At 41.9% G+C, this 14,395-nt stretch overlaps 1 protein-coding gene across 35 annotated transcripts in view, besides 2 other annotated features; it reads right to left on the bottom strand.

The window, feature by feature from the left end:
- The window catches only part of PCCA (propionyl-CoA carboxylase subunit alpha), a 441,343-nt gene that overhangs the window by 305,680 nt on the left and 121,268 nt on the right, over nucleotides 1-14,395 (bottom strand). The window contains exon 1 of one of the 35 annotated variants that reach the window (XM_047430376.1): nucleotides 8,395-8,572. The exons of the other annotated variants lie outside the window; for them this stretch is intronic. The gene's annotated coding sequence lies outside the window, so the exon portion shown is untranslated. Of the gene's footprint in view, nucleotides 1-8,394; nucleotides 8,573-14,395 lie in introns of those variants that run through there. 35 annotated transcript variants of the gene reach the window in all.
- Nucleotides 804-1,314: an enhancer, noted in NCBI's record as "H3K27ac-H3K4me1 hESC enhancer chr13:100875696-100876206 (GRCh37/hg19 assembly coordinates)". NCBI's record gives its function as "activates a minimal SCP1, AML or CMV promoter by ChIP-STARR-seq in primed H9 embryonic stem cells {active_cell/tissue: H9 hESC(primed)}" and the evidence as "EXISTENCE:reporter gene assay evidence [ECO:0000049][PMID:30033119]".
- Nucleotides 1,315-1,826: an enhancer, noted in NCBI's record as "H3K27ac hESC enhancer chr13:100875184-100875695 (GRCh37/hg19 assembly coordinates)". NCBI's record gives its function as "activates a minimal SCP1, AML or CMV promoter by ChIP-STARR-seq in primed H9 embryonic stem cells {active_cell/tissue: H9 hESC(primed)}" and the evidence as "EXISTENCE:reporter gene assay evidence [ECO:0000049][PMID:30033119]".

The following is a 14,395-nucleotide window of genomic DNA, read 5'->3' as shown; positions in this document are numbered from 1 at the left end:
AGGTTTCACTTAGCTATCATTTCCATTGGAAAATCTGCAATGATACCTAAAACTAGGTTACATGCCCATCCTATATGCATAGGCCCCTGCGCCTTGAGCTTAGCATTATCAAAATGTAGTCAATTGCCTGAATACTTGCAGTCCTCCTGAAGAAGTGAGAGGTGACAGCGTGCTGGCAGTCCTCACAGCCCTCGCTCGCTCTTGGCGCTCCCACTTTGGCAGCACTTGAGGGACCTGATCAGCCCACCCCTGCACTGTGGGAGCCCCTTTCTGGGCTGGCCAAGGCCAGAGCCAGCTCCCTCAGCTTCCACGGAGGTGTGGAGGGAGAGGCGCCAGCGGGAACCAGGGCTGCTAGCTGCGCTTGCGGGCCAGCTGGAGTTCCGGGTGGGCGTGGGCTTGGCAGGCCCCGCACTCGGAGCAGCCGGCTGGCCCTGCCGGCCCCGGGCAATGAGGGACTTAGCACCCTGGCCAGCAGCTGCAGAGGGTGTACTGGGTTACCCAGCAGTGCCAGCCCACCAGCACTGCGCTCGATTTCTCGCCCAGCCTTAGCTGCCTTCCCGCCGGGCAGGGCTCGGGACCTGCAGCCCGCCATGCCTGAGCCTCCCACCCCCTCCCTGGGCTCCTGTGGGGCCAGAGCCTCCCTGATGTGCGCCGCCCCCTGCTCCACGGTGCCCAGTCCCATCGACCACCCAAGGGCTGAGGAGTGCGGGCGCACGGCGCGGGACTGGCAGGCAGCTCCACCTGCAGCCCCGGTGCGGGATCCACTGGGTGAAGCCAGCTGGGCTCCTGAGTCTGGTGAGGACATGGAGAACCTTTATGTCTAGCTCAGGGATTGTAAATACACCAATCAGCACCCTGTGTCTAGCTCAGGGTTTGTGAATGCACCAATCGACACTCTGTATCTAGCTACTCTGGTGGGGACTTGGAGAACCTTTGTGTTGACACTCTGTATCTAGCTAATCTGGTGGGGATGTGGAGAACCTTTGTGTCTAGCTCAGGGATTATAAACGCACCAATCAGTGCCCTGTCAAAACAGACCACCAGGCTCTACCAATCAGCAGGATGTGGGTGGGGCCGGATAAGAGAATAAAAGCAGGCTGCCCGAGCCAGCAGTGGCAACACGCTCGGGTCCCCTTCCACACTGTGGAAGCTTTGTTCTTTAGTTCTTTGCAATAAATCTTGCTGCTGCTCACTCTTTGGGTCCACTCTGCCTTTATGAGCTATAACGCTCACCGCGAAGGTCTGGAGCTTCACTGCTGAAGCCAGCGAGACCACAAGCCCACCGGGAGGAACGAACAACTCCAGACGTGCCACCTTAAGAGCTGTAATGCTCACTGCAAAGGTCTGCAGCTTCACTCCTGAGCCAGCAAGACCACGAACCCACCAGAAGGAAGAAACTCCGAACACATCCCAACATCAGAAGGAACAAACTCCAGACGCGCCACCTTAAGAGCTGTAACACTCACCGCGAGGGTCCGCGGCTTCATTCTTGAAGTCAGTGAGACCAAGAACCCACCAATTCCGGACACAGAAGGCTTTAAGCTCTTTGAAAGCAGGATCTGTGGCATGTTATTCATTGATTTAAAAAAAAAAAAGCTGTGATCCCAATTCCTGTCTCCAATATCTTAATGTGCATGCCTTTCACTCTGCTCTCCAGTTCCTGAGATCAAGGTAATGAAATGTTGAATAAAATTAAATTTGTTAAAGGCAAATACTTGATACCAAACGATTACTTGATAATTACATTTTAAAACATTAGTTTCTCTCTAAGGAAAAGGATGATTCAAGGACAGATTAATAAGCCATTAAAAAGAAGAGTTGCAGAAGACCACTGAAGTACTGCACACAATGCTTTAAAGGGGTATGGGTAAACTGTCTCCATGTAACATCCTACATATTCAAATAAGAAAGGAACAAATGTTTGAAGGAGAAATGTAACAAACTAAAATTGTATCATAACTGGTGGAAACTACTTGGGGAAAAAAAATAGAATATAGTTATCAAGGAAAAGACTTTAGTCTTAAAAACACTGTAGACTAATTTTAAAGAACACTAAACATTTTTTAAAAGACAGAATTACCTGTAATTGGCATATGCACTCTGCCAATGAAAAACTGTTGCTAAAAACCCAAGATATTCCAAAATTCGGTACTATTTATTTCCATCAGCAAACTTCTATCTGCATAGATACTCTCAAAAGTAATCTTATACTCAATATATCTAAACTAGTAAATGTGAATGGTGTAGCTCCAAGTGAATGTGGAGTCACTATACCAGAAACCTAAATTAATAGCCAAATTTAAAAGAAAAATATGTACAGCCTCTTGTATCAGAAATAAAAACAAACTAAAAATAAAACTAGTATTAAAAATTATTTCCAGTCAGGCACGGTGGCTCACACCTCTAATCCCAACACTTTGGGAGGCTGAGGAGGGCGGATCACCCAAGCTCAGGAGTTCAAAACCAGCCTGGCCAACATGGTGAAACCTCATCTCTACTAAAAATACAAAAATTACTAAAAAATTACTAATTACTAAAAATACAAAAATTAGCCAGGCATGGTGGCGCATATCTGTAATCCCAGCTACTCCGGAGGCTGAGGCAGGAGAATCGCTTGAACCCAGGGGGCGGGGATGGAGTGAGTCCAGATTGTGCCACTGTACTCCAGTCTGGGCAACAGAGTGAGACTCTGTCTCAAAAAAAATTATTTCCACCAGGCGCAGTGGCTCACACCTGGACACCTATAATCCTAGCACTTTGGGGAGCCAAGGCAGGTGGATCACTTGAGGTCAGGAGTTTGAGACCAGCCTGGCCAATATGGCGAAACCCTGTCTCTACTAAAAATGCAAAATTAGCTGGACATGGTGGTTCATGTCTGTAATCCCAATTACTCGGGAGGCTGAGGCAGGAGAATTGCTTGAACCCGGGATGCAGAGGTTGCAGTGAGCTGAGATCGCACCACTGCACTCCAGGGTGAGACTCCGTCTCAAAAAAAAAAAAAAAAAAAAATTTCCCAGGGAAACAAAAGGACATTCCTTAAAAATTATTTGTAAATGCTTATCTGGAAACTATAACCTGCAGGTTCAGCTGTGGCGTCACAAATTCAGAAATAGTCGTTAGTGCAGATAATGAGAATCAATCATTTGAGAGTGTAATAGGATGTTACAAATCATCTAATGCATACAAGGAAAAAAACTGAAAAGATGAGATTTCTTTTCTCCTGTCTACCTTTCCATATTTTCCAAATTTACTAGAACAGAGGCTGCAAATTCAGATGCAGCCTCCTAAGAAGATAACCAAAATAACCTGTTGAACAAGCAAAACCAAGTGTATTACCCACAGACACATGTTCGAAGCCCACTAAAAGCCACAGTTCAAGATCTTAGATCTGGCATCTGCATGCTTCTCTGAGGCCCACTGAGCGACCCCCTCAGGGGTCTCCCCAACCACAATGGTGAGATGAGTCACACTGGGTAGAGGTCCAATTTCCTTTTCAACAACTGTAGGAATAAAGACCCACTGAATTTCTTATCACATTTGAAAATGTTTAATATTGGAAGAAACCTCCCATATTACTAATATACTGTCCTCAACATTTTTTATTCTAAGTCCATAAGTCAAAGTTCACCTGAAAGAAGACAGGCATAGGTTTCATAAGCCCATTTTCATGCTGACTCTAGAAGCCAGTGAGTTCAGAAGGTTTCATCAGATCATCATCCAAATAGAACACAATTTACCTGGGAACCTTGAGTATTTTCCTCTGTCTTGACTTGCTTTGTCCATGGAAGTCTGGGCCTAGGAGAGACAGTCTCTCCAAATCTTAAACCAACAAGGCACTGTCAGGTTTGCAGTTAGAGATGGCCAACCATTAGGCTGTGAGCCCAAGACAGGAGGTGCACAAACAACATATTCAATATGCCATTAGGAGACTCCCATGAGTTTGGCTCAGACTAAGTCTGTGGTCTCTCAGAGTCAGACTTCTGTTTCTTTAAATGCATTAAATATGTAATGCAAATTCATGGTCTTCTCTTTATAAATGGCATCATTTCACCAAGGATAGTTACAAAGTGGGGAGCAAGGAGAGGGAAATAGGAAGACCTATTAGAAAGGGGAAACAAATATCCTGAGAGTGACTTCAGACCCCAAATGCACAGAAAGCCAGTGGGGTTTAGAAAAACTGTGAATGACGGGGCGCGGTGGCACATGCCTGTAATCCCAACACTTTGGGAGGCCGAGGCAGGTGGATCACTTGAAGTAAGGAGTTCAAGACCCGGCCAACATGGTGAAACCCAGTCTCTACTAGAAATACCAAAAAAAAAAAAAAAAAAATTAGTCAGGCATGGTGGCTCAGACATGTGGTCCCAGCTACTTGGGAGGCTGAGGCAGGAGAACTGCTTCAACCCGGGAGGTGGAGGTTGCAGTTAGCCAAGATTGCGCCACTGCACTCCAGCCTGGGTGACAGAAAGAGACTCTTGTCTCAAAAAAAACAAAAACAAAAAAAAGAAACTGTAAATATTGGACACGGTCTTTTGAAGGCTATTACCAAAATCTTTCCTGTGAAAACAGGTAACTCTAATTCAGTTGTTCTAGCAGACGAAGGATAAGCCCCTTGCAGACTTCCAGGGTGGGCTCTTACTACCTTCAGTTAGCATTCAGGAGTAAGCCCTCAAGTAGTTGTGACCCCAGCTCCTTCCTCACTTCTTGTGAACAGCCTTAAGCCAGAAAAAGAAAATGTTATAAACAAGCAAAAACTGGCTGGGAAGGCACCACATTGTCAAACAATGTAACTCCATATTACACATTTCAAAAGAGCCTGAAAACAAAGGCAGTATAAGACCCAGAATAAGATGATACCCTTGAAGATAAAACTAGATGCTCCCACTCCAAAAATTAAACACCAGTCTTTTGATAAAGAAACCTGCAGAGATTGTAAGAAGAAATTACAATGGAAAAATAATTGTTCTGTTTTATTCAAGAGAATTGGGAAAAAATGATAGTAGGCAAATGTTCTAACAGCAAATCAAGTACCCATTTCTCCTTTTACTCTTCAACTCACAAGACGAATTTTCACTAATTATTAGCGGAGAAACAAGTAAAAATTTTATTGATATGGGTGGCAGTATATTTACCTTAATTCCTGCCATTGTTCCACAAGCTCTCCCTCGGAATCAACAAACTACTCAGTTGACAGATATGGATAATACCCGTCACATTTCCCATGTCCCAGCACACAACGGTCACCTTTGGACCTTTAGCCAAGAAACATTCCCTTCCTAGGAGACACTACATTCACTAATTTCATAAGGAAAAATCTCCCGTGTAAACAGAATTTCCAGATCAAACACTCTCCTGATGGTCTCTTCCTTGAACCCTTGAGGACTCCACCATTCATCATCAAGCCAGAAATAATTTGGACAGTGACACATCAGTATTCTTGGGAATAAATCAAGTCCAAATTGAAGATATCAAAAAGGCAACATTCCTCATCAAAAAAATATATAATTATACTGGTAGAAATATTCAGGCTGAGTAGATCAAGGTTCATAATGACACATCCAAACCCCTACCCAAATTCACACAAATGTCTAAAACAAAAAGGTAAAGAGGACAAGACCTCATAAGGAAATAATAATAATAATTTCATCATACACTGCTCAGGGGTTTGCAAGGCTGCAATCAGGGAGTGAACCAGGCTGCATTGTCACTGGAGACTCAAATGGGGAGAAATTTGCTGCCAAGCTCTTTCAGGTAGTTGGCAGAATTATGTCCTTGTAGCTGCATGATGAAGGACCCCAGCCTTTTGCTAGCTCTTGGGTAGAGACTGTCCTTACATAGATCCTTAGAATCTGCCCACCATTCACTGCCAAGTAGGCTTCCTTAATATGGCTGCTTACTTTATCAAGCCAGCAAAAAGAATCTTGTTCTCTAGTCTGTTAAGATCAAGTACTATATAATGAAACATAATCACAAGAGTGACACCCAACCACTTTGCCACATAATGTAATTGAATGCAGTGACATCCCATCACTTTTGCCATATAATGCAACCTAATTAAGGGAGTAATATCACATCACCTTTGCCATATTCTATTAGTTAGAGAAGCAATTCACAGGTTCTACCCAAATTGAAGAGGAGTGGATTATACAAGAGGAAGGGAGTACATAAAGGTTTGGATGCCTGACAGTTCCTCAAAAAGCTGAACAAAGAATTACCACATGACCCAGGAATTCCACTCTTGGGTACATACCCCAAATAACTTAAAAAACAGACATATGGCTGGGCGCAGTGGCACGCGCCTGTAATCCCAGCACTTTGGGAGGCCAAGGCGGGTGGATAACCTGAGGTCAGGAGTTCAAGACCAGTCTAACATGGTGAAAACCCGTCTCTGCTAAATACAAAAAAAAAAAAAAACAACCCATAGCCAGACATGGTGGTGGGTGCCTGTAATCCCAGCTACTTGGGAGACTGAGGCAGGAGAATCACTTGAACTCAGCAGAGGTTGCAGTGAGTCAAGATCACGCCACTGCACTCCAGCCTGGGCAACAAGAGTGAAATACCATCTCAAAACAAACAAATATATAAGCAAATACTTGCATACAAATATTTGTAGCAATACTAATTGCAATGGTCAAAATGTAACCCAAATGTCTTTCAACTAATGAATGGATTTTTTTTTTTTTTTAGACAGAGTCTTACTCTGTTGCCCAGGCTGGAGTGCAGTGGTGCCATCTCAGCTCACTGCAACCTCCTCCCCCAGGGTTCTAGTGATTCTCCTGCCTCAGCCTCCCGAGTAGCTGACATTACAGGGCCTGCCACCACGCCCAGCTTATTTTTTTCTATTTTTAGTAGAGTCGGGATTTCACCATGCTGGCCAGGCTGGTCTTGAACTCCTGACCTCAGATGGATTTTTTTAAGTGGTATATTCATACAATTGAATATCACTCAGCCACACACACACAAAAAACCTCCGCCCCCAGGGTTCTAGCGATTCTCCTGCCTCAGCCTCCCAAGTAGCTGACATTACAGGTGCCTGCCACCACGCCCAACTAATTTTTTTGTATTTTTAGTAGAGACAGGGTTTCACCATGTTGGCCAGGCTGGTCTTGAACTCCTGACCTCAGGTGGATTTTTTTAAGAAGCATATTCATACAACTGAATATCACTCAGCCACACACACACACACACAAAAACTGATACATGCTATAACATGGATACTATATTTTGCTTGGTTGAGTCCAATGTTAAGTCTATCTAAAGTCCTTATTTTCATATATTTGCAGTTACAGAATTTCTATTTAATTTTTTTTTTTTTGAGATGGAGTCTCGCTCTGTCACCCAGGCTGGGGTGCAGTGGCATGATCTCGGCTCACTGCAAGCTCCACCTCCTGTGGTCCAGCGATTCTCCTACTCAGCCTCCCGAGTGGCTGGGATTACAGGTGCGCACCACCACGCCCAGCTAATTTTTCTATTTTTAGTAGAGACGGGGTTTCATCATGCTGGCCAGGCTGGTCTCGAACTCCTGACCTCATGATCCACCCACCTCGGCCTCCCAAAGTGCTGGGATTACAGGCGTAAGCCACTGCACCCAGTCTTGTATTTAATTTTTAAAATAGATTCAAATTCTCTTGTGAAATTCTTGTTTTTTTTAGACAGAGTTCCGCTCTTGTTGCCCAGGCTGGAGTGCAATGGCGTGATCTCGGCTCACTGCAACCTCCACCTCCCAGGTTCAAGGGATTCTCAGGCCTCAGCCTCCCGAGTAGCTGGGATTACAGGCACCTGCCACAACACTCAAATATTTTTTGTATTTTCAGTAGAGACGGGGTTTCGCCATGTTGATCAGGCTGATCTTGAACTCCTGACCTCAGGTGATCCGCCCACCTCGGCCTCCCAAAGTGCTGGGATTACAGGCATGAGCCACCATACCCGGATGAAATTCTTTATATACTTATCTATTTTCTCCATATTTTCCTTGGATTTCTTTAGCATATAAATCGTAGTTATCTCAGCCAATTCCAATATCTGAAGCATATGTGGATATGTTTCTATTGTCTTTTAATTTTTTCTCTTGGTTTTTGGTTTCTTTTGGTGCCTCTAATAGATGTGACTAAACAATATGTACTAAATGGCAACGTATATAAAATGAGTATATGTATAAAATTTATCTCCTAGAATATTATTCATTCAACAAATACCTAGTGAGCACTGACTGAGCATTGACTTAAGCACTGACAATATGTCAGGCACCATGTGCATGTGATACAGTAATAAAGAGAGCAGCATCCCTGCCATCAGAAGCTTACGCTCCGTGTAGGAAGGAGACATTTACCTAATACTGAAATGGCCTGTAAGGCCCTAAAAATCTAAGCTCCCTACTACACCATTATCTTTTTTTACCTTATCTCTAAATTGTCTCTCTCGATGATTCCAATCACATGCTTCCTCGGTGTTTATTCAGTAGCAGGTACACTTCAACCTCAACCAACAATCTTGCGCTTGTTATTCTTTCTGCCTAATATGCTTTGCTCTTCTCCAGGATAGCAACATGACTTGTCCTGCCACTTCCTTAGATGGTCTGCTAAACATGCACTTGGCCCTCTATATCCTTGGGTTCTGTATCCATGGATTAAACCCAAAAAAGGGAAGGGGAAGGGAAAGGGGAAGGAGAGGGGAAGGGGAAGGGGAGGGGAAGGGGAAGGGAAAGGGAGGAAAATTAAAATACTGCATATTTTAAAACACAGTGGGACAACTATTTACATAGCATTTACATTGTTTTAGGGTATTATAAGTAATCTAGAGATGATTTAAAGTATACGGCAGGGCTGCGCACAGTGGCTCACACCTGCAATCCCAGCACTTGGGAGGCCAAGGCAGGTGAATCACTTGAGGTCAGGAGTTCAAGACCAGCCTGGCCAACGTGGTGAAACTTCATCTCTACTAAAAATACAAAAAACAGCTGGGCATGGTGGTGCATGCCTGTAATCCCAGCTACTTGAGAGGCTGAGGTGGGAGAATTGCTTGAACCCAGGGTGGACGGAGGTTACAGTGAGCCGAGATCATGACACTGCACTCTAGCCTGGGCAATAAAGTGAGACTCCACCTCAAAAAAATAAATATATAAAAATAAAAAATAAAATAAAGTATACAGAAGGATGAGCGTAGGATATATGCAAACACTACCCCATTTCATATAAGGCACTTGAGCATCAACAAATTTTGGTATCTGAGGGGGTAGGTCTTGGAACCAATCCCTTGTAGATATGAAGACATGCCTGTATATAAAATTGTGAATATAGCCCCACCTTCCAGCAGTCTTTTTCTCTTATGTTTCAACATAGAACATATGTTTTATTATTTATCATCTGTTTCCTTCTATAGTGTAAGCTCCTTGAGGGCATAAAAATATGTTCAGTCTCTTTTGTTCACTACTATATCAACAGCACTTCAAACAGTGTCAGACAAATTGCGTGCACTTGGTAAATATCTACTGAATAGATGAATGAATAAATGATTTAAAATGTGATGAGTTAAGTGTAGGGTCCTAAGGAAAAATACAGCAGAGAGCCTAATCTAATGAAGACAGTTAAGGAATGCCTATGTGAGGAATTTACATTTAAGCCAAGACCTAAACAATGACTAAGAGACAATCAGGAATGAAGACAGAAGCAGATATGACTAAGCACATAAGTTTCAAGAATCTGAACGATGTCAAGTATGGCGGATACATACAATGCAAAGGATAGACTGGCACAGTATCAGTTTGGAGAGCTAAGCAAAATCCAACCATTTAAAACATTTATATGAGTAGTCATTCAAAAGTTATTAAAGATAGGCATACGATCAAATCTGGATTTTTGGTCACTCAAACTGAAGTATCATTAATTAATGGATGGGAATTCCTATATGCCAACAGTGAAGACGATATCAAGAAAATAATCCCATTTACAATAGCTATGAATAAAATAAAATAAAATAAAATACCTAGGAATAAACTTAACCAAAGAAGTGAAAGGTCTCTACAATGAAAACTATAGGCCAGGTTCAGTGGCTCATGCCTGTAATCCCAGCACTTTGGGAGGCAGAGGTGGGTGGATCACAAGGTCAGGAGATCAAGACCATCATGGCCAACATGGTAAAACCCCGTCTCTACTAAAAACAAAGCAAAAATTAGTTGGGCGTGGTGGTGCATGCCTATAGTCCCAGATACCAGGGAGCCGGAGGCAGGAGAATCGCTTGAACCCGGGAGGCAGAGGTTGCAGTGAGCCGAGATTGCACCACTGCACTCCAGCCTGGCAACAGAGCGAGGTTCCATCTAAAAAAAAAAACACACACACACACACACAAAAAAACAACTATAAAACGTTGATGCGAGAAATTGAAAAGGACACAAAAGATGCAAAGAGATTCTACATTCATGGGTTGGAAGAATCAATATTGTTAAAATGTCCATACTACCTAAAGCAATCTACCGATTCAATATAATCCTTATCAAAATACCAATGACAATCTTCACAGAAATAGAAAAAAAAATCCTAAAATTTATATAGAACCACAAAAGACCCAGGATAGGCAAAGCTATCCTGAGGAAAATGAACAAAACTGGAGGAATCACACTACTTGACTTAAAATTATACTACAGAGCTATAGCAATCAAAACAGCATAGTACTGGCATAGACCAATAGAACAGAATAGAGAACCCAGAAATAAATCCATATATCTATAGTGAATTCACTTGACAAAGGTGCCAAGAATATACCTTAGGGAAAGGACGGTCTCTTCAATAAATGGTGCTCGGAGAACCGGATAACCAGATGCAGAAGAACAAAACTAGACCCTTATCTCTTGCCATATACAAAAATCAAATCAAAATGGATTGAAAATTTAAACCTAAAACCTCAAATTATGAAACTACCAAAAGAAAACATTGCAAAAACTCTGTAAGATGCTGGTCTGGGCAAAAATTTCTTGAGTAATTCCCCACAAGCCCAGGCAAGCAAAGCAAAAATAAATAAATGGGGTCACATCAAGTTAAAAAGCTTCCACACAGCCAAGGAAATCAACAGTCAAGAGACAACTCATGGAATGGGAGCAAAATATTTGCAAACTATCCATCTGACAAGAGATTAATAACCAGAATATATAAGGAGCTCAAACAACTCAACAAGAAAAAAAATCTAATAATCCAATTTTTTAAATGGGCAAAAGATCTGAATAGACATTTCTCAAAAGAAGACATACAAATGTTAAACAGGCATATAAAAAGGTGCTCAACATCACTGATCATCAGAGAAATGCAATACAATGAGAGATCATCTCACCCCAGTTAAATTGGCTTTTATCCAAAAGACAGGCAATAACAAATGCTGGCGAGGATATAGAGAAAAGGGAACTCTTGTATAGTGTTGGGGGGAATGCAAATTAGTAAAGCCACTGTGGAGAACAGTATAGAGGTTCCTCAAAACACTAAAAATAGAGCTGCCATATGATCCAGCAATCCCACTGCTAGGTATATACCCAAAAGAAAGGAAAGCAGTCTATCAAAGAGATATCTACACTACCATGTTTACCACAACACTATCCACAATAGCCAACATTTGGAAGCAACCTAAATGTCCATCAACAGACGAATGGATTTTTAAAATGTGGTACATATATACAATGGAGTACTATTCAGCCACCAAAAAGAATGAGGTCCTGTCACTTGCAACAACATAGATGGAACTGGAGGACATTATGTTAAATGAACTAAGTCAGACATAGAAAGACAAATTTGACATGTTCTCACTCATCTGTGGGAGCTAAAAATTAACATAGTTGAACTCACAGTGATAGAGAGTAGAATGATGATTGCCAGAGGCTGGGAAGGGTAGTGGGGAGGAGTGGGGGTGGGTGATGTGGGGATGGTTAATGGGTACAAAAATGGGTCCAGTTAGATAGAATGGGTAAGATCTAGTATTCGACAGCACAACAAAGTGATTACAGTCAACAATAATTTATTGTACATTTTTAAATAACTAAAAGTATATTAGACTGTTTGTAACACAAAGACATTATAAATACTTGAGGTGAAGAATTTTTAAAAAATTAATTGGATGGAAGCAAGAATGACTACAAGGAGACTAATTAGAAGGCAGATGAAGTAATCCAGACTAGATGATAGTAGCTGGAATCTGGGGTTGGTTAGTACGGGCAAAGAAAGAAGTAAATGGATTAGAAAGCTATCTGAGTGAATTCTCCACAGTCGCATTTGTTAAGAATTACTCTATGTTTCTAGCCACCACCTTCCTAGGCGGAAAAGAATGAAGGATAAGAATTTTAGAGCAGGGATAGGCAAACTTTTTCTTAATGGATCAGGAAGTAAATATTTTAGGCTTTGTGAGTCACATAGTCTACTATGTGTCCCATGTAGTTGAGTCTACTCCACATATTGAGTCTACTACTCAGCTCTACCACTGTAGTGGAAAAGCAACCACAGACAATATGTAAAGGGATGAACATGGTTGCCCTCCAATAAACCTTTATTTATAAAAATAGGTGTGCATGGGCTATAGTACCAATCTCTAGTTTCAGGAGAAAGATGAGTTCAGCTTTTAATTGTTAGTTTCAAGGTGCCTCAGAGGCATCAAGTAGTGAGAGCTATATAAGAAGCAACTGGATATGTAATCCTGAAGTTCAGAACAGATACATACATTTGAGATTGGTCAGAAAAGTGGCAATAGGCCAAGTGTAGTGGCTCATGCCTGTAATCCCAGCACTTTGGGAGGCCGAGGGGAAGGACTGCTTGAGCCCAGGAATTTGAGACCAGTCTAGGCAAAATAGTGAGACCCCCGTCTCTACAAAATATAAAAAAGTAGGCAGCTGTGGTGGCACACACCTATAGTCTCACCTATTCAAGAAGCTGACGTGGGAGGAGCACTTGAGCCCACGAGGTTGACGTTGCAGTGAGCCATGACTATGCCACTGCACTCTAGCCTGGGTGATAGAACAAGACCTTGTCTCAAAAAATAATAATAATAGTAAAAGAAAAAAGAAAAGGTGGCAATTGACGCCATGAAAAAAAGTAAGATTGCCCAGGGCAAGTTAGCACAATAAAAAGAGGAAATGTCCTACTCAGGACCCAGAATAAAACCCCCATTTAAGGAACAAAGATAGGAAGAACAATCGGGAAGGAATCTAAGAATGGCATTCAAAAAAGCCAAAAAACACAAAAACTAGAACTGAGTAATGTGCCAAAAGTGAGTATCTCATGAGAGAAGTATGGACTGACCAAGAGACTCAAATGTTGCTCAAAGATTGATATAAGATCAGAATTCAAAATTACATATTGATTTAACAAAGGGAAGAGGTTGCTGGTAGCTTTGCAAGAGAAATTCAGTAGGAATGAGGAAAGAAGCTAGACGGCAAGAAAAGATTAAGTGAAAGATACAGAAATGAAAGTGAGGAAGGACAATTCTAAGAGCTTTGGCACTGAAAGGGGAAGAGAGAAAGAAGGTGGCAACTAGCTGTAGAGTGATAGGGGTGATGGTGCTTTACGAATGGAAGAAATGTTTGTTTCTTTCCCACTAAACTGTGAGAACTATGATACGCAGATCATGTGTATCTCATCACCACATCCTTCCCACATAACTGAGTGACCAACACATTTGTTCACTGAGCATTTTTAATAGCAATGATAACAAAAGGAGCTAAAAGATGAGGAGAATTTTAAGACACAGAAGAGAGAAAAGATAATCAGTAAAACCATAGCCTGTGAAGGCTATAAAGAATACATTTGGAGCGTAGGAGGAGGAACTGGCTTTCCAGAGGATGTGGAACACCTCTTCCTTGTAACAAGTGGGAAGAAACAACATGGATACACATAGATAAAAGTAAATGCAGGTAAATATGGGCAAGAAGCTGAGGATATTTATTAACTAGGGGGCAAGTTTTCTAATCGTCCTCTAATGCATGAAATGATCTTGCACAATGAAGAACAACCCAACACAGAATGCCAAAAGTAACAATACGAAATGCTGAAATGAAGAGTTCCTGCAGGCTAAGTCAAATCGCAAGGTTAAAACTCTACATGAGGACTCTCTTCTAACTAGAAAAAAACAGAATAATTTCTCATGGGAAAAGGAGAAGTTGCATACTTCAATTTCTGCATTTCTCCCTCAGAAGCCTTCAGCTGCAGAAGGCCCTTGCTAAATGTTTGCAATATACAATTACCTATAGCTATACCACTTTCACCAGAAACATGATCCTAACTTACATATTATGCACATGGAGAGAAGCTCAAGATAAAGATATACAGAGAAACTCTTAATGTTTAACACATGAAACACATACCACTATTAAATGCAGTCCAGAGATCTGACAGTACATTTTTTAATCACCAAATTTTTTCCTATGAAAGTC

Source organism: Homo sapiens, chromosome 13 (genome assembly GCF_000001405.40).
Source record: "Homo sapiens chromosome 13, GRCh38.p14 Primary Assembly".
Lineage (NCBI taxonomy): Eukaryota > Metazoa > Chordata > Mammalia > Primates > Hominidae > Homo > Homo sapiens.
Note: the sequence above shows the minus strand (reverse complement) of the source record. Positions and strands in the feature narration are given on the sequence as shown.